The sequence below is a fragment of the Homo sapiens genome, chromosome 4 (genome assembly GCF_000001405.40).
Source record: "Homo sapiens chromosome 4, GRCh38.p14 Primary Assembly".
Taxonomy (NCBI): Eukaryota; Metazoa; Chordata; class Mammalia; order Primates; family Hominidae; genus Homo; species Homo sapiens.
In genome coordinates this window covers 171,648,322-171,668,429 of record NC_000004.12, presented here as the reverse complement: position 1 = coordinate 171,668,429, position 20,108 = coordinate 171,648,322, and the positions used below count along the sequence as shown (strand labels likewise).

The window sequence follows — 20,108 nt, the reverse complement described above, 5'->3', positions numbered from 1 at the left end:
AGGTCAAGATTCTATTATATCACCTGACCCCCCTAAGTACCTACTCTTATCTTAATGGTGATTTGTGCCCCCAGGAACTTGTGGAGTCCACTGACAGTATGAAATAACCCTTGAAATATTTGAGAAAATTATTTTCCCCAGGTCTCTGAGTGAGCTGTGAGAATTATTCATAGTGCATTCTTATTATTACTGGCTGAGAATCCACACTAGTTTAACTCAAGTTGAGTTTTGGCCAAACAGACCTAGACATTATGAGATGCATTGGCCAAACAACCCCTTAGAAGGCTGTCCAGCTATCTCATTCATAGGGACCTTGTCATCAATTATCCATGGATTGCAGCATGCCAGGGCCATCTGGTTACCACAGGTTTGCAGTAGCATATCATGCTAATTATGTTAGATTTATTCCTGTTGGGATCTTATTATCCCCACTAAAATAATAAAATCCAATTCCATTGAGACTTCCTTCACCATTGTCACAGGCCTCAGAGGACAGTCACCAAATTGTGTATTCAAGGATGTGTGTGCTTCCCTCACTAACACATGTTAACATTTTCATAAACCTATAGCATACAAATGAATAAACATACCAATCAAAATATACAGCTTGTTGAATTATCAATAGTGTAGTGACTACTTGAATAGAGAAGCAACCTCATCTTGGGCTTACTCCCCTCCCTGCCTCTTAATATCTTGATAAATGGAATGTCCTCTGAGTATCTCCAGTTAATACAGTAAATGGTGTCTGAGCAGTTTGCATATAACAGAGTTACTTGCTAGGCTTACCTCCCTGAGCCTTTTGTGTACTTTCTTTAAGTATGCTAGAAAAGTAAGAGGATTTCTATTTCATTAATTGTAGAACACAGTTGAATTCAGGCTTTAATTGATCAGCCTAGCAGACTTATAACACTTTTCTCAGGTGCCCAAGCCAAATTACTAAATTTCATATTCTGAGAGAAAGTACACGTATCAACAACTTCAGCTTGATCAAATCTTCATGGTTCAACATTTGTCCTGATCTAACACTCTTAAAAATCCATCCATACCTGTTCCTCATAAACTTTGTGCTATAAATTGGCAGGATATGGCAACTCCTTTTGAATAAAAGCTATCTCCTCCCAGAACAAGCTTGTACTTCTCCATATGGATCTACCTTTTATCATGGTCTTGAAGAGAAAGAACGATGGTGATGGTACATCCTGAGGAGTATCCTTATCCCCTTGGGTGGCACCAGGCCCTCTTGAAGGTATTGGTAAATCTCATGAAAGTTAAAGAGTATTGATGAGAGGAACTGCAGTTCTGTCAGGGAAGCTTTTGGAGAATGTGAAAGTTTAAAATTTTCAGTCTCTTTTATTTCTATTCGCATGTACCTTGCTCATTCCCAATAGTATATATCTTAGCATAAGACAGTAGTTGAGGTGGTACATTCAATTAATGTTCTAACTGTGTAGTTCTTGAAACAGGCATCTTCTAGATCTCAGATGAGAAAAAATTTTATTTAAAACAACAATTGAGGATTTTTAAGTTTTCCATCTGCTCATGGTTGGCAATTCAAGTGTTTTGATTAGTCTTTGTGCATTTTTGAAAGTTATATTCAGGGATCTGGAATTATCCAGCCTACCCCACAATGATTGTAATTGCCAAGTTCCACAAATCACTTGACAACCTCAACCTGCAGTCCAATTCATGCTACCACTGAGCAATTGCTATGCTACCAAATGCCACAGATTACCAGTGCCTCATTTCTCTCTGATTAGGAGGTTGTATTAGTCTGTTCTTGCGCTCTTATAAATACCTGAGACTGGGTAATTTATAAAGGAAAGGGGTTTAATTGGCTTATAGTTTCACAGGCTGTACAAGAAGCATGAGGGCTTCTGATCAGCTTCTGGAGAGGCCTCAGGAAACTTATTATCATGGTGGAAGGCAAAGGGTGAGTGGGCACTGCACATGGCAGGAGCAGGAGAAAGAAAAAGGGAGGAGGTGCCGCACACACTTTTTTTTTTTTCCAGACAGGGTGTCACTCTGTTGCCCAGGCTGGAGTGCAGTAGTGCCATCTTGGCTCATTGCAACCTCTACCTCCTGGGTTCAAGTGATCCCCCTTCCTCAGCCTTCGAGTATCTAGGTCTATAGGCATGCATCACCATACCCAGCTAACTTTTGTGTTTTTTATAGAGATAGGGTTTCACCATGTTTCCCAATCTGGTCTAGAACTCCTGGGCTCCAATAATCCACCCACTTCGGCCTTCCAAAGTGCTGGGATTACAAGCATGAGCCCAGCAAGGTACTACACACTTTTAAACAACCAGAATTCATGAGAACTCACTCACTATACAGTACCAAGGCGAGGATGGTGCTAAACCATTAATAAGAACTCCGCTCCTATGACCCAGTCACCTCCCACCAGGCCCCACCTCCAACACTGGGGATTGCAACTGAACAGAGATTTAGGTGGGGACACAGATCCCAACCATATCAGAGGTTATAGGTACACTTGACATATGTGACTAACCGAACACCAGAATGTTGGTTTGAGGGTACGTTTCTTGGGATCTCTGCTGGTACCAGTTACTGTATCTTGCAGACTTTCAGCATGAAATAGTCCATTTGAGAAAATAAATGAAAAAAGTTTAACAAAGGAACTATTTCCAGAGGTAGAGGAATAATTAAATGAAACAACAAATGATGGTGAGGTATCTAGGGTTTACACCAGTGGAGTGATTACAAGCTGTTACAAGATTATTAAGAATCTGGCAAGAGTCACAGTTGAGGGTGTGAGGATACTGAACCAGAGCTGGAGCCACAGTTAAGAAATAGAATGTTCTCTGTTTTCTAGCTAGTGATTTCCATTGGCCAAACTTCATGAAAAGTGAAATGCAAGGAAGGCTGAATGACGCCGCATACAGATATCAGCCTCCCAGGGCACAAGACAGCAGAGAATAGAAGTAAGAAGAAAAAACTATCTTTGCCCTCTCCAAAGCCCCACAGCCCCCACCAGCGGCACTGCTTAAGACCCACGTATACAAACGCATTATCACTACTGTAATCCTTTGACCCTCAGCTTATCTCTCACAATTGCTGTGTTCAGCTCTATACAAGGAAAATGATCACATGTACTGAATTTCCAGCTAAGAGTAAAAACTAGCGATCTCAAAGGGATTGTATCCTAAAGAAGAGCAAAGTGCAGAAATGGAGTAATGACTCTGAAATTGACAAAATTACAGAGAAGTTTTCTTCTTTCTTTGCAATATTAGGATACTGTTTATAGATCAGGGTATTAATAAAGTGTACTGTAAGTTTGTGTTTGAGTGGCAGTGTAGGGGTCGAGGGGTCAGGAGCAATATTATCCTGAATCATCAGTATTCTCTAGAGTATATGTGCTTCCTTTGGCGTTATTATAAAACTAAAAATAGTTATCCCCAAAATAATGGTTACAGTCAGAATATAAAATCACTGAGGTGTGTAAAAAGCAGTGTGTCTGAAGCAACACAAAGTTGTACAGTGCCAGGTAGTTCATGTCTACAGTTAAGAAAAGCACCTGCTGCAGATTCTGCGATAGTACTATGATCATTTGAGTTATTCTGACCTGTTCATATTTTGTAATTCTTAAATTTTGTATCTCGAAAATTGTGTTGCTTTACCCTATTGCAGAAGAACAAACCAAAACATATGCTGGACAATCTTCAGATGGAGCCTATTTGTGTATTTTTGAAAGGTGCCATGATTCTGACATTTCAACAACTCTCCACACCCTGAGAATAGATTTGGCAGCAAATGCCTGTGGCCTGTTTATGTTCAAACTAAGTTGGTAGTTTTAAATATATTTGTATTTAAAACTAGCTAGCCTTTCTTATTTGTTTTATTGATTGTTTAATCATTTTCTTTCTTCTCTGTGTTTAAACGGCCATTATTTCCTATTTCATTTCATTTTTTCTATTGCCTATGTGTTAGTCATTTCTCCTGTGCTTTAAAATGTGCATTTAAAAATGATCTGAGCCCCTTTTGAATAATATTATATGGCTTCACGTGTAAGGCAATATGTTTCCAATTTCTTCATCTCTTCTCTTGTGGAATCATGGCCATACATTCCACTTTGATATCTTATATAAGCACACAATGCATGGTTACTCTTATTATATTGCTTTAAACACTCAGTCATCTTTAAAAAATTATTAATAATGAAACAACTTATTTACCTCTATTTATTCCATTTTCAATGCTCTATATTTCTTTCTGTATTTCTAAGTTTCTGACCTATATCAGAATCTCCATGCAAAAAGCTTTCTGAATATTTCTTGTAGAATAGGTTGTGTTGGCTGCAGTGAATTTTTTGTTTTTGATTGACAAGTTATATTTCACTTTTACTTCATATTTTTGTTTGATTCTTTTCTAATATATACTTTTTTAAAAAATTGAAGTATAATTAACACATAAACATAATTATATATATTTTTAGTATACAACATGATGTTTTGATACATGTATATATTGTGAAATTCTTACCATAATCAAGCTAATCAACGTTTCTATCACCTTACATTGTTATCTCTTATTTTTGTGGTGAGAACATTTAAAATCTACTGTCTTAGCAATTTTCAGGCATATAATACAATCTTATTAATTATAGTCACCAGAGGCTTTCAATTTCTCTAGTGATAGCTTATGTCTATTTCTAACTTTGACTTTGATTTCTGATCTTTTCTTTGTTTTTGTCTCCAGAGAGCCTATTCTTGCCGGTTTCCCACCTGTGTGATTCAGTTATTTTTACTCAACCCTGGTGTGGTAGGGGGAATGTGGGAAATGGGTATTTTTTAATGTTCTAGTTAACCTCAGTCTCAAGAAGGAACGGTGAACACTGGCCGAGTGGCCTGCCTTCCATGTGCATCCAGACCCAGTGCTGGGCCTGGACTGCTTTCCTTCCCCACACACATTGGTAGTTTCTAGCTTCCCTCCCCTTGCCTTCCACACCTATTTCCCTTCTTCAGCTTCAGTGGGTTTCCACTACTGCCCTCGTGCTACAGGTTTTTTGTTTCTTGTTTGTTTTTACCAACTCCCTGCAAATTAGGTTTTGTTTTCTCTGTATAGGAGATCAGGGAGTTGAGTCTGGGTGTTTTGAGAGGGATGGTAGGGCTCTCCCTTTGCTAGCTGCACAAGGGAAGCTTTCTCAGGATACTCCCCTATCTTCCTGTGAGTGCCTGGGAGGGCTCCTGGAAGAAAAGCCTACAAAAAATTGTGAACACTCCTATTTCTGCAACCTCTGGGGGTTCATAGTCTCATGCAAACCCACATTCAGCCTTTAGCAATTCATAACAATTCTCCACTAGACAGTAATGAGTTTGGCAATGCCTGTCCCAGGTAAGCAATGGATCTAGTCCTATTTCTCCCCATAGCCATGTCTCTTTCTCTAGAACTGTCGAAAGTTGTTTTCCCTTTGACCTTAGTTCTATAATGCTTTCAAGGCAAATTTAATTTTCAGTTTATCTAGTTTTTCTCTAGATTTAAGCATGAAAGTCATGCCCTGTCCAGCTCTCCACATCACCAGGCTAACATTGGAACTCAGAAAATGTTTAAGAGGAAAACCAAGTACCTAAGAAACTACCAAGTGTGCTATCACTTGTGATTTTGAGACAGAGAGAGTGAGACAGAATATAGATAATTTTATATTCAAATTATACATATTATATAGGCTAGAGAAACCCTGAAAAGATACAAAAGAAAACTCTTTTTGAAAAGCACCCCTGAAAGATACACCAGAAAATGGCAAAAACATTAAGAACTGTTGAATAAGGACAGATGTAGAGTTGAGAAATCTCTTTAATAACTTTGTATAGTTTTTTAAACTATGTGAATATCTTACCTAAACAAATAAATGAACTGGCTTTTAAAACAATATGATAAAGACTTAATAGCAGTAATGGGTTTTGCTAAAGATTATGCTTTTATAGAAGTACTGGCTGATAAATTAAAGCACACTATTTACTTGGGTTAACAATCAACACTGAAAATAATAAATGTGGCTGGGCATGGTGACTCATGCCTGTAATATGTAATACTAGCACTTTGGGAGGCCCAGGCAGGTGGATCACCTGGGGTCAGGAGTTCGAGACCAGCCTGGCCAACAAGGTGAAACCCTGTCTCTACTAAAAAAAAAAAAAAAAAAAAAAAAAAGCCAGGCGTGGTGGCACGTGCCTGTAGTCCCAGGTAGTTGGAAGGCAGGAGAATTGCTTGAACCTGGGAGGCAGAGGTTGCAGTGAGCCCAGAGGGTGTCAGTGCACTCCAGCCTGGGTGACAGAGCAAGACTCTGTCTCAAAAAAACAAGAAAAGAAAAGAATATATGTAAGACCACATTTTTTGTAGCAGACTAAAACATTTCTCATATTAGAAGAATTTTTGACTTTATCATCAGGGTTCCTTTTTGGCTTGCATTATTAGTATAGCTTATAATTCATGTAAATTAAATTCATAGGAATTTAATGAAATTCATAAAATTTCATAGGAAATTTTATAACATTTAATTTGATGAGGGATCGTTTTGATAAAACCAGATTATTTCATAATTAACCACACATGTATAAGTTGCTCTATGGTAAAATATGTTAAAAGTTGAGTATATAAAAATACTATTTTCTATTTTCATTCTTCCATACTATTCTTTTATTTTTTTGAGACAGAGTTTCGCTCTGTCACCCAGGCTGGAGTGCAGTGGCACGATCTCGGCTCGCTGCAACCTCCGCCTCTCGGGTTCAGGCGATTCTGCTGCCTCAGCCTCCTGAGTAGCTGGGACTACAGGCGCCTGCCATCATGCCCGGCTAATTTTTTGTATTTTTAGTAGAGATGGGGTTTCACTGTGTTAGCCAGGATGATCTCAATCTCCTGACCTTGTGATCCGCCCGCCTTGGCCTCCCAAAGTGCTGGGATTACAGGCATGAGCCACCACACCCCTCTTTCATATGATTCTTATAATATTCTATGTATAATGATAATACATGAATACACTGTCATCCTTAGTAATCCATATATTTAATATAAGTGAGGCTAAATTTCTTATAATCTATTAATAAGTATAAAGAAGAGAAATGTTAAAGTTTGATATTTTGAATCTAAATTTTTAAGACTTTTGAGAAAATTTGTCTACGTGTTCTCATCATTTAGCTCCCACTTACAAGTGATAACATGCAGTACTTGGTTTTCCGTTCCTGTGTTAATTTTCTAAGGACAGTGGCCTCCAGCTCCATCCACGTTCTTGCAAAGGATATGATCTCATTCTTTTTCATGGTTGCATAGTATTCCATGATGTATATGTGCAACATTTCCTTTATCCAGTCTTGATGGGTATTTAGGTGGATTCCATGTCTTTGCTATTGTGAATAGTGCTGCAATGAACATATGCATGCATGTGTGTTTATAGTAGAATAATTTATATTCCTTTGGATATATACCCAGTAATGAGATTGCTGGGTCGAATGGTTTTTCTGTCTTTAGGTCTTTGAGAACTCACCACACTGCCTTCCACATGGCTGAACTAATTTACCCTCCCACCAACAGTATATAAGTGTTCCATTTTCTCTGCAATCTCGCCAGCACCTGCTATTTTTTGACTTTTTAATAATAACCATTCTGACTTGTGTGAGATGGCATCTTACTGTGGTTTTGAATATACTCTTAAGTTGCAGTTAGTTTACATACTAAGTTAAGTTGTAGTTCACTACATATAGAGGCCACTTTAGGTCAAATTCAATTGAATTTAACAACCACTACATAACGTAAGGCGACTACTTTAAATCTAGCCGTTACATAATGTAAGCTATCTACTTTAAATCAAGTAGAGAATATAGGTCAGCATACAAAGAAGACTAATATGAGGAAATCCTGATGTAACTGAAAATGAAGGAAGGCAAGTCAGCACGATATAGGTGTTGTTACTTATTCAAATGATGTTGATTTTTATCTTCCTAGTTCAGAGTCTTCAAACAGCACAACTTAAACCTTTAAAAATTGGAGAGCAATAATAAAGGTAACTTCCTTCACAAAAATCTGTGTCTTATTTAACGTTTTATGCATTCTATTTTTGGGAGTCTTTTTATGCATTTTATGCATTTAACATTTTATGCATTCTATTTTTGAGAGTCTTTTCTCTTACTGAAGTTTAGTACAAGTACCTGGAGCCTAAATAATGTTAAACAATTGAAACTTCTTTATTTCATTTCAAATAGTGATGCAGGTGGCTTGAGTTGTTTAGAGATTTTCTAATCTCTTCTAAAGAAAATAGATTGGATTTTTAGCTGGCTAAGGCTCCTGAGACATTCATTACACATAGGGTGTTCTCTGATGAATTTTTTGAATCATCTTACTTTTATTTCATGTTGGAAAATCACTCTTCCAAGAGGCTGTTTGGGGGCCCCATGATCTTGATTCTGTCTGTCATAAATCAATTTTCAGTAATGCTATTGAGAAACCTTCACACATATCATGTTCCCCAATGTATAGAATACCTTATCAGAAAAAGAAAATTAATTGAGAAATATCCTACACATTGTCACAGTTGCATTGCTTAATAAGATGAGCCCCTTTCTCTGGAGAATCGGCAGCTTTCTGACATTCCCTGGTTTTATGCTACTTGAGTTAAATATATTGCTGGAAATGAAGCATAGCAATTTTATCAGGAAAATTACATCTCAAATAAAGAAATCTATTGTATTACATGTTGTTTTTGCTCTGTCTGTGCTACTTGATTTATATATAATTCTAACACAATATATACCACATTTGTGCTTAAGCAGTGTTAGTTGATCTTTATAAAAAAAATCAAGCTACATGGAACATAGAGGATCCTGGCAATACAAGTTTTCTGTGAAAAAAAAGTTTTCCTGTCCACATTACAAATTGAGTGACAACTTTTTCTATAGGATCGAATTTTTCAACAGAGGCTGTGAACTGTGCATTCAACAATAAACTATATACAAATATAAAACCTGCTTTCTTTTAGTAACTGAAACACTTTTCTTTGACATAAAAACACAAGCTCATTCTTTCTTGTCAGAGGTAAGAAAAATTAAGATAATCAGAAAATTTAGATATAGTGTTTGATTTATTCATTTATTTTCTGGCCTGACTCAAATTGTTATATTCACGGTCACTGTTTGGTTCAAGGTAACTTCAACAAGATGTCCCTTCTCTCTTCAACTATCTTTTTGCTCCTTTTCCTCCAGTTCCTAAATTTAATTTCACTGGCCTATCGAAATTTTTTTATATGGCAAAAGAGGTAGGGATTGGGATTATCTTATGTGAATAAGTGTTCTGTGTGGGCAACGCACGAGGGGAGAAGAAAAGACACAAACACAATACCTTTAAGGGTAAACAATCTTTATCCCATGTAAATGGCAATGCAGGTATAATAAGCAAATGATATAATAATATATAATAAATAGATTGATATAATAAGCAAATTGCAATGGGAAGGAGAGAAGGGAAAAGATATTTACACTCACCAGACTATGGAGGATTCACCACTAGACCGGGAAGCAACAGCCTGGGCTCCAGAGTCGGTCACTCGTCTGTTTACAGATGAGGAGAGGTGTCATGAAGCTTTGGCACAGTCTGGGACCCTATCTCTTTTTGTAACGAGTTGTTTGGCATGAGGTCCAGTTACGAGGGCCCTTTGTGACTGGGCTCAAGGAACACAAAAAGTCAACTTGTTTTTTGTGATTGTCTATTGTTTTTCAATAACTAACGTATAGGAATAGATTGAAATAGAGATTTCTCCAAAACAGCTCTGAATGAACACCTCAAGGTGTTCACACAACCTGTTCTGGGACTTGGTAACCATTGTTTGTGTCCATGTTCAATTGAGTTCAAATCTAATATTTAACTTTTCCTCCACATTAAGATAGTGCAGATGGTCACAGATCACTTCCTCTGTGTGATACAGGTGTTGTGTGATTGCTGATGTTAGTGATAGGTAAATCTTAGCTATTGTTTCCTCATATGACAACTAGAATTCTGGTGCTGAGCTGAGCTCCCCGTCAACCTCCTAGTGAGATATTGCCTCACATCTGTTATTATTAATAGAATAGTTACTATCAAAAGGACAAAAGATAAGTGTTGGCAAAATGTAAAGAAGCCAGAAGGCGTGTTCACTGTTGGTAGAAATGTAAATTGGTGCAGCCATGATGGAAAACAGTATGGAATTCTTCAAAAATTAAAAACAGAACTACCATACGGTCTAGCAGTCTCATTTCTGGTATACATCCAAGGGAAATAAAATCAGCATGTCAAAGAGATATCTGCACTTCATGTTTATTGAAGCACTATTCACAACAGTTGAGGTATGTAACCAACCTAAGTGCGTTGATAGATGATGAATGGATAAATATGGTATACACATACATACATATGCATATACATACATATATACATACGTATGTATGCATACATATGTATATACACACGTATGTAACATATGTATATACACACGTATGTAACATATGTATATACACACGTATGTAACATATGTATATACACACGTATGTAACATATGTATATACATACGTATGTAACATATGTATATACATACGTATGTATGTACACACGTATATACATATGTATGTATGTGTACATATGTATATACGTATGTATGTATGTGTATATATGTGTATATATGTATTTATATATACGTATATATGTATATATCCATATATACATATATGTGTATGTATACGTATATCCATATATACATATATGTGTATGTATACGTATATCCATATATACACATATGTGTGTGTATACGTATATACACATATGTGTGTGTATACGTATATACACATATGTGTGTGTATACGTATATACACATATGTGTATGTATACGTATATACATATATGTGTATGTATACGTATATACATATATATGTGTATATGTGTATGTATACGTATATACATATATACGTGTATGTGTATGTATACATATATACATATATACGTATATATACATATATACATATATACGTATATATACATATATACATATATACGTATATATACATATATACATATATGTGTATATATACATGTATATGTGTATATATACATATGTGTATATATACATATACATATATACATATATACATATATGTGTATATATACGTATACATATATACATATATACATATATACGCATATATACGTATACATATATACATATATACATATATACGCATATATACGTATACATATATGCGTATATATAAGCATATATATACGTATATACATATGTATGCGTGTGTGTATATACATATGTATGTATGCGTACATATGTATATACATATGTATATAGGTATGTGTGTATATACATACATATAATATATATTATATATACATTTATATATATACGTATGTATGTATGCGTATACCATATTTTCTTTATCCGTTCATCATCCATCAATGCACTGAGGTTGGTTTTATATATATATATATATATATATATATATATATATATATATACACAGTCACATGCCACATAATGATGTTTCTGTTAACAATGAACCGCGTATACAATGGTGGTCCCATTGGATCATAATGAAGCTGAAAAATTCCTATCGCCTAGGAACATCATAGTTGTCTTAACATCAGAACACAACATATTCCTCATGTGTTTGTGGTGAAGCTGACATAAACAACCTACTACAGGCCTACCAGTCATAAAAGGCATGTAACATACAATACATAACACTTAATAATGATAACAAATGAAATGTTACTTGTTTATTTATTGACCATACTATAACTTTTTGTTGTTGTTTTAGAGTATACTCCTTCTACTTAAAAAACAAGAAAAGATTAATGGTACAATGATCTCAGGCAGGTCCCTTGGTGGTATTCCAAAAGAAGGCATTGTTAGCATAGGACACCACAGCTCTATGCCTGTTATTGTCCCTGAAGAACTTCCAGGGAGACGAGCCCTGGAGGTGGAAGGCAGTGACACTGATGATCCTGACCGGTATTGGCCTAAGCTCGTGTGTATTTGTGTCTTAGTTTTTACCAAAAAAAGTTTAAAAAGTGAAAAAGAGAAATTTAAAATTTAAAAATAATGAAAAGTCTGTAAAATAGGGATATAAAGAAAGAAAAATATTCTTGCACAGCTGTAAAATATTTTTGTTTTAAGCTAAGTGTTTTTATTAAAGAGTCAAAAAGTTGAAAATTATTAAAAAGTTTATAAAGTAAAAGTCAAAGTAAGCTAAGTTTAATTTATCACTAAAGAAAATGTTTAAAAACAAATTTAGTATAGCCTAAATGTACAATGCTTATAGTGTCTATAATGGTATATGGTAATGTCCTAGAGCTTCACATTCACTCACCACTCACTCGTGGACTCACTCAGAGTCAACTTCCAGTCCTCCATTCTCCATTCAAGGTAAGTTTTCTATTAAAGTATACTATTTTTATATTTTATACTTTATTTTTACTGTACTTTTTCTACTTTTATATGTTGGGATACATTAATACTTACCACTGTGTTATAATTGCCTATAGTATTTGGTACAATGACATCCTGTACAGGTTAGTAGTCTAGGAGCAATAGAATATACCACATAGCCTAGGGATTTAGTAGGCTGTAGATTTGTGTCAGTACACTTTATGATTTCTGTACAATGATAAAATTTCCTAACTATACTTTTCTCTGAACATATCCCTGTCATTAAGTGATATATAATTGTATACACACACACACACACACACACACACACACACACATATATATTTACAAATGCACAATGGAATACCATTCAGCCTTAAAACAGAAAAGAAGAAAATACTGTCATTTGCAAAAACATGGATGAACCCAGAAGATATTATGCTAAATGAAATAAAGCAGGCACAAAAAAAGAAATACTGCATTATCTCACTTATATGTAGAATCTAAAAAATTTGAAATCATAGAAACAGAGAGTAAAATGGTAGTTGCCAGGGGCTGGCAGAGGATGGGATGAGGAGGTGTTGGTCAAAGAATATAAGTGTTGGACAAAGAAAATAAGTTCTGGAGATGTATTGTACAGTGTGGTGACTATAGTTAATGATAATATATTGTAGTCTTGAAAACTGCAAGAGAGTAGATCTTAAATGTTCTCACCACAAAAAATAATAATTATATGAGAAGAGGGACATGTTAATTATCTTAATTTAATTATTTCACAATGTGTACTTGCATATATCAAAACATCGTGTTGTATACTGTAAATGTATATAATTTTTATTTCTCAATTATACCTTAATAGAGCTGGGGGGAAAGGAAATGAAAAATGTACATATTAAAAGGAAAATTAAATTAATGGTTAAATAGCATATTAAATATAGCTTAAAAGAGAATTGCCAATCTGGAAGAGAGACCAAAATAATTACTCAGTATGTAAGTTAAGTACTTAGATCTGTAGCCTTCTAGTTATTGAAGAAGACTACTGCATTTGGCCATTTTTAGGTTATTAGAGCTATGTACTATTCAGGTACACTGCTCTATGATAGTAAAAATATTATATGATATGAATGAAGAATGCCTTTTTAGAGATACATGATTTTCATATAAACATAAGATGTATATAATCTGTAATAATATATACTTGCAGACTATTCAATAAAACAAGGTTTTCAGTAGCATCCCTCCCCCATGCCACCTCCACTTGGGACAGTCGGGATGCTTCATGACTAGAATGATGAGAAGCAGCTTTAAAAAGGGACCTTCAATTATGCCATCATTCTGATTTTTGTCAATTGTTTTTTATTATTCATGTCAATTTACTTTTACAGAGATAACTAGAAGTGTTAACATCACTGCAACAACATTTTAAGGAGACTCTGAGTTGAAGTATGCAAAAAGGAGATTAAAAGCCAGAGAAAACATATAATGATTTGATATTACACAGGTTTGTCTGAGTTTCCAGGAGAAGACAAGTGCGATAATGAAGATGAGAGCATATTTAACCAGGTAATAGATGACAATATTCTAGACCTACAAAACAAATGAAACCACGCAGAGAAGAATCCCACTCCATGTATGGCACACATTATTCAGTCAAAGACTAATCTGTGTGCTGCTCTGAAGGGAATTTGCAGATGTTATTAAGGTTCCAATTCAGTTGACCTTAAAAGAGGGAGATCATCCTGGGTGAATCCAACCAAATCAGGTAAACTTATAATAGGGACTGGATTTTTCCTGGCAAAATAAATTTTAAAGAGTGAGACGAATTTGATGAGAAGAAGATTCTCCACTGCTGGCTTTTACGATGGAAGGCATACGGCAAGGAACGTGGGGGATCTCTACTAGCAGAAGCAGCCCCCATCTGACAACCAGCAAGGAAATAAGTACCTTAGTATTACAATTTCAAGGAACTGAATTTTGTCAACAGCCTGAGTAAATTTGGAAACAGAATACTTCCCAGAGCCTTCAGATGGGAGCTCAGCCTGGGTAACATCTTGATTTCACTTTAACTAGACCTTGAGCAGAAAACCCAGACATGCAGTACCCGGACTTCTGACCCACAGAAACTGGTAGCAAATAAATTTGTACTGTTTTAAGCTGGTAAATTTGTGGTAAAGTGTTATGCATCAATAGAAAATAAATACATTGTACCAGTTTACATTATAGGGTGACTTAAATATCAAAAATTAAAAAATGACCTTGAAAGCTGGCAGAGAGAAGACATGTGTAGGTAACATTGATGTTAGACTCCTTTTCAGCAACAAAAGATTCCTGAAGAGAGTAAAATGACATCTGAAATTGATGAAAAAATAATATTTTGAGACCTAGAATTTTATACAGAACACGACTTTCTTACAAGAATGAAAGCCAAAAAGAATTAACAAACATCTTCAGTTAAACTCAGATCAGAGAGCATTTTTAGTCATCAACTTTCAGTTATGTAATTTTAAAAGATGCATTCTTGAAAGAAGGTTAATAGTCCCAGCAGTATGATCTTAAATTAAAAAAACAAACAAATAAATTGATAAACGTAAAGTTAAATCTAAACAAAGATATGTTAATTACAACAAAATAATATTGAATTTATAGGATAAAAAAGAACTAAAGTGAACAACTAGCCACTTGTTCCTGTGAAAGGGTTAGCAAAGGTAAAGCTCATAAGGGAGAGGCAGAGAGAGAGAGAGAGAGCAAGAGCGAGAGAGAGAGAGAAAGAGAGAAAGAAAGACAATGAAAATAGGCAATCTTTATTGAATGTCTGATATGTACCAGACACTATGCATAGCTTTTACACATTTTATTAAATACTCAAAACAGTCCTATGAATAGTCCTATTATTATATTATTGTCATTTTAAAGAAGACAGCAAAAACAGTGAAACAATTTTTCAAGTTTGCCCAGTAAATGAATGGCAGAGTTGGAATTCAGAATTGGGCAGTTTGATCACAAACACTAAGCTTTTGATCCTCAAACACTGTGACATCTCAGATAGACATTTTAAAATATAATTCAAAACCTTACATAAGAACTTTTTTTGTAATTGGAAGAGAATACAAAATATTCTTAGTGGAAGTATGGAAAGAAAGAAATGACAATATCTTTTTAAAAATGAAGTGTAACTAAATCAGCCATTTAATTTTTTAATCACTTGGACATTTAAATATTTACTTGTACTACACAAAACCAAATATTTAGTGGAAGTCACTATGATATTATTGTACAGAGCGCAGTCATTGTCAATGAGGAAATGTATTTCAGCTTTATCATACCATATTTAGGTGATTTTGGTTCTTTCTGAGTATATAAATATTTTTAATGGGGTGAAGTATGTCTTATCTCACAGAAGGGTTTTCTTATATGTGACTAGACACTTTTCTCTCACTCTTTTTAGGATTCTGTTTTTAATTTTGACATTTTGTCTATTACATGTCAGGGAAAAAAAACAAAGGTGTATCTATTTGGCGATCTCTGAGCTTCCTGCACCTGGATGTCTAAATCTCTTGCGAGATTTAAAAGTTTTCAGCTATCATTTTGTTAAATACCTTTTCTATGTCATTGGTGTTCTCTTCATCTTCTGGAACACCCAAATTTGTAATATTTTCTAACTTTATCGTGTCCCATATAACACATAGGCTTTCTTCATTCTTTTTATTTATTTTCTTTCTTTTTTTTCTTTTTGGTCAGACTGGGCTATTTCCAAAGACCTGTCTTCAAGTTCTGAAATTCTTTCTTCTTCATGATTTAGTCTATTGTTGAAGATCTTGATTGTATTTTTTATTTGATTCATTAAATTCTTCCTTTCTAGGATACCTGTTTGATTCTTCTTCATGATTATCTATCTATTCCTTTCATAAATTTCTTATTCATATCCTGAGTTGTTTTTCTGATTTCTTTGTATTATCTGTGTTCTCTTATATCTCACTGAGCTCCCTTAATATTATTATTTTAAATTCATTTTTCACCATTTCATAATTTTCTTTTTCATTGGAATCTGTTGCTGGAGAATTATTGTTTCTTTGGAGGTGTCATCTTTCCTTGCTTTTTTACATTTCTTTCATCCTTACATTGATATCTGTGCATCTGGTATAACCGTTGCTTCTTCCAATTTTGGAGGCTGACTGTCATAGGGGAAGATTTTTTCCTGTGGCTGTATCTGTGGTGTTGGTTGGGTAGGGCACTTTAGCTTTGGTTCTGGGTGTGTGAAGTGTAGTCTCCATATGATGTTTCTCAGCTGTAAACAGGGACAGTAGTGTTTGTGCTTTCCTCAGTGGCTTAGGCTGTAGTTGTTAGTGGAGGCTATGGCGAGGTTTTGCTGAGAATAAGGATGCCACATGGGCCAGTCCTCGGGCCCCAGTGTTAGGATCAGTAGGCTGAGTTTGCCTGTCCTTGGGTCCCCAGGGAAGTGTCTGTGGGAACTGATGTTACTGGTTTCAGGCAGGCTGATTTTTGGGCCTCCAGTTAGTTTGCTTTTGTGCTGGTAGCAGCAGCAGTGACCTGGGCAGGAGGGTGAGTCTTCAGGCCCCTAAGCAACGTGCATGGCATGTGTAATGTCAGTAGCTGGACAACCCTCAGGCTCCCAGGCACTATGCGCTGGTGTTAGTGGTGGCTGCAACCAGCTGGACAGGCCAGTCCTCAGGCTTCCAGGTAGAGCTTGTGCAGGTGGGTGCTAGCAGCAGTGGTGGGAGCAGGTTGGATGGGCCTGTCCTCAGGCTCCTGAGAGGGGTGCACAGATGCCAGTCATGGTGGACCGGCCAGAGAGGTTCCCAGACCTGACGGCATGCTTGACCACTGCCAGAAGGTTTTCTGGGCGTGTTCTAGATTCCCTGGTGCATACGCATGCACTGTGGTGTCCAAAAACATTGATCAATTCCCAGGTCCCCAAGGTGGCAGGCTTGGGCACTAGGGGAACAGTGCCAAACTGGGCAGTCCTGTCCTTAGGCATCTCCTACCCCCCATCTGATGTTCATGGGCATAGGCTGTGGTGAACAAGAATGGGGCAATTTCCAGGGTCTTGGGCGGCATGCTTGGGCTCAGGGAGAGGGCTCAGCACCAGGTCACTTGGGCCTGTCAGTCTTGAGGCCTGCAGGTCATGCACAAGGGCTCAGGCTACGGTGGGCAGTGTGGGGCAATCATCAGTCCCTAAGTGGTGAGCTCTGCTGGTCAGATGGCTGTGGCCGTGTGCAAGAGTTCACAGTGGGAATGTGGACCACCAGGGGTCACTCACTTATCATTTTCCCTCACTGGGAAGCCTCTTTGGGCTCCCAGCTGCTCCTGGCCAGGCCCTCTGCCTTACCTCCTCCTTCAGAGCCATAGCTGTTTCCTGTCACTTCTCTGCTGAGCTCCAGCATTCTCTCTTAGATGCTCTAGTCAAAGTGTGATTATCTACATTGGCTATTTTGTGTCTTCTTTGTGGAGGAGGGGAGTGTCCTGTGCTTCTGGGCAGCCATCTTTAAGTCTCCCTGTAAACATTAATTTTGATCACTAGTAAATACAAAATGTATTAAATGTCTCCATTCCAGAATCATACTTCAAGTTTTCATATGAGGTATGGAATGTCCAGCTTTTCCTGGTTACTTCTTAGAGGCTGCATCTTGTGCATATGGACTTCTGCAGGGAAAATGTTTTCTCCCTAGAGAAAAAGATTTTTCTCATTTTGGATTTAGTGTGAAGTCAAAGCTTGCTTTTGACATGTGCAAACTTTATTATTAATATTATTAAATAGTTTGGTTTTCGCTGACAGCAGGGCAGTAAGGATGCAGAAAATCCCAGAAACTTAGATGCAAAAAATAAGAGAAGGCACTACCTGCAGAGACTTCAACATCAATAATAAAACAGAATAAAAGTTGATCTGCTGTTATTATTACTATGTGTCAGGACTTACAGCAATGCCAGTGATAATGTACTTGTCCCTGCCAAGGCAAGTTGCTCTCACCGACCTCACCCGGAGTTGCTCTGTGAACTGATAAGATGCACGATCAATATAATGCATTCAGATTTGGCAATCTTGTCCTTCTTTCAGATTAATGTCAACAAAATGGCAGCAGATTAAAATGTGCAATAAAATACAAATAGGAAGTAAAATTATGATGTAATTATTTAAATTGTAAATAAATAAAAGTATGCTTTCTTTAGAAAAAATTCTCTGGCCCAAAATGAAAATTACAGTTACGGCCCTGTGGAATCAAAGCATCTACTGAAGATGATGGCTTTCTTGTATTGAGGCTGCTGTAAAATAGCTAAATATTCAGATAACTCAAAAATTGTACTATTTCTTTGTGTTCTATTTGCATGTGTTTATAATGAAAAGTATTACTTTATTTCAAAAGTGTAAACATATGTGTTGCTCTTTTATTGTTCATTCGGCAAATGGCTGTTTTTATTTTCTAGCTGCTTGGAATATTTTCAAAACTCTCTATTACCTTAGGTACTTTAAGAATATTTTGGAAACTGGAGTAAAGTGCTGAAAGCCTGGGGCATCTGGGCGCTGCCTGAAGAGGGATTCCAAGATGAAGAATTTCCATGGGTATTTTAAATTAATTACCATGTAAAATGTAATTAAAAGGCATCACTTATCATTTGAAGAGCAGCTGGCAAAAAAATATACATGCATCTTTATACAGCTCAACCTGAACAGGGAATCCCAGAGGCTGAAGTTAGAAATTATCAGCACTTTTGAATTGGCCGTTTCTAAATACTTAGAAGACTCTTCAGTGTTTAACTTCTTTATTTTTCTTCTTTTCTTTTTTTGAGATAGAGTTTCACTCTGTCGCCCGGGCTGGAATGCAGTGGCACCGTCTCAGCTCACAGTTGCCTACGCCTCCTGGGTTCAAGCAGTCCTCCTGCCTGAGACCCTGAGCCTCCCAGATAGCTGGGATTCCAGGCATGTGCCACCATGCCCAGCTAATTTGTGTATTTTTAGTAGAGGAGGAGTTCTGCTGTGTTGACCAGGCTAGTCTCAAACTCAAGTGATCTGCCAGCCTTGGCTTCCCAAAGTGCTGGTACTACAGGCATGAGCCCAGCCTATAATGTTTAACTTCTTAAGAGAAATGGAAATCATATAAAGCATCATAGTCTACTGTTGGTTTTGAATGGCATATATCTTACTAAATTCTGTGCACAAACATTATTTTTATTGTTATATTTAAAAAACATAACTGCACCTAGATAAGGATTTTATATGTACATTTTAGTAGAGGAATAGATTTATAAATTATTTGTTATTTTATTTATCTCATCACTGCTTTATTATATAATTCTATTAGAATTTTTCTTTCTCTTTTAAAATTCTCTTCAATCAACATGTTTTTATATTTATTCATTTTGCATTTCCTTTTGCTTTTTTGTGCTTTATTTTCATATACAGCTTTTAAATCTCTTTTCCTGAGATGATGGTGGATCACGAGAAAGAGGATAGAGCTTAAACAAGTTTAATCACTTATTTTTTTAAGCAGGTTTAAAAACTTTTTTAAGAAAATTTTATTACACATTGACAATTTATATTTTTATATATTGATGGATTACAAAGTAATATGATTTATGACTACAACATGAAATAATTAAATCAAGCTAATTAATATATTCATAACCTAAAATACTTATCATTTTTTTGTGGTGAGAACATTTGAAATTTATTCTGTTAGCAATTTTG

General features: G+C 36.0%; 2 annotated features.

Annotated features, from left to right (window-relative positions):
* Window positions 17,554–17,603: an enhancer, noted in NCBI's record as "active region_22151". NCBI's record gives its function as "activates an Ori minimal core promoter by ATAC-STARR-seq in GM12878 lymphoblastoid cells {active_cell/tissue: GM12878}" and the evidence as "EXISTENCE:reporter gene assay evidence [ECO:0000049][PMID:35858748]".
* Window positions 17,764–17,833: an enhancer, noted in NCBI's record as "active region_22150". NCBI's record gives its function as "activates an Ori minimal core promoter by ATAC-STARR-seq in GM12878 lymphoblastoid cells {active_cell/tissue: GM12878}" and the evidence as "EXISTENCE:reporter gene assay evidence [ECO:0000049][PMID:35858748]".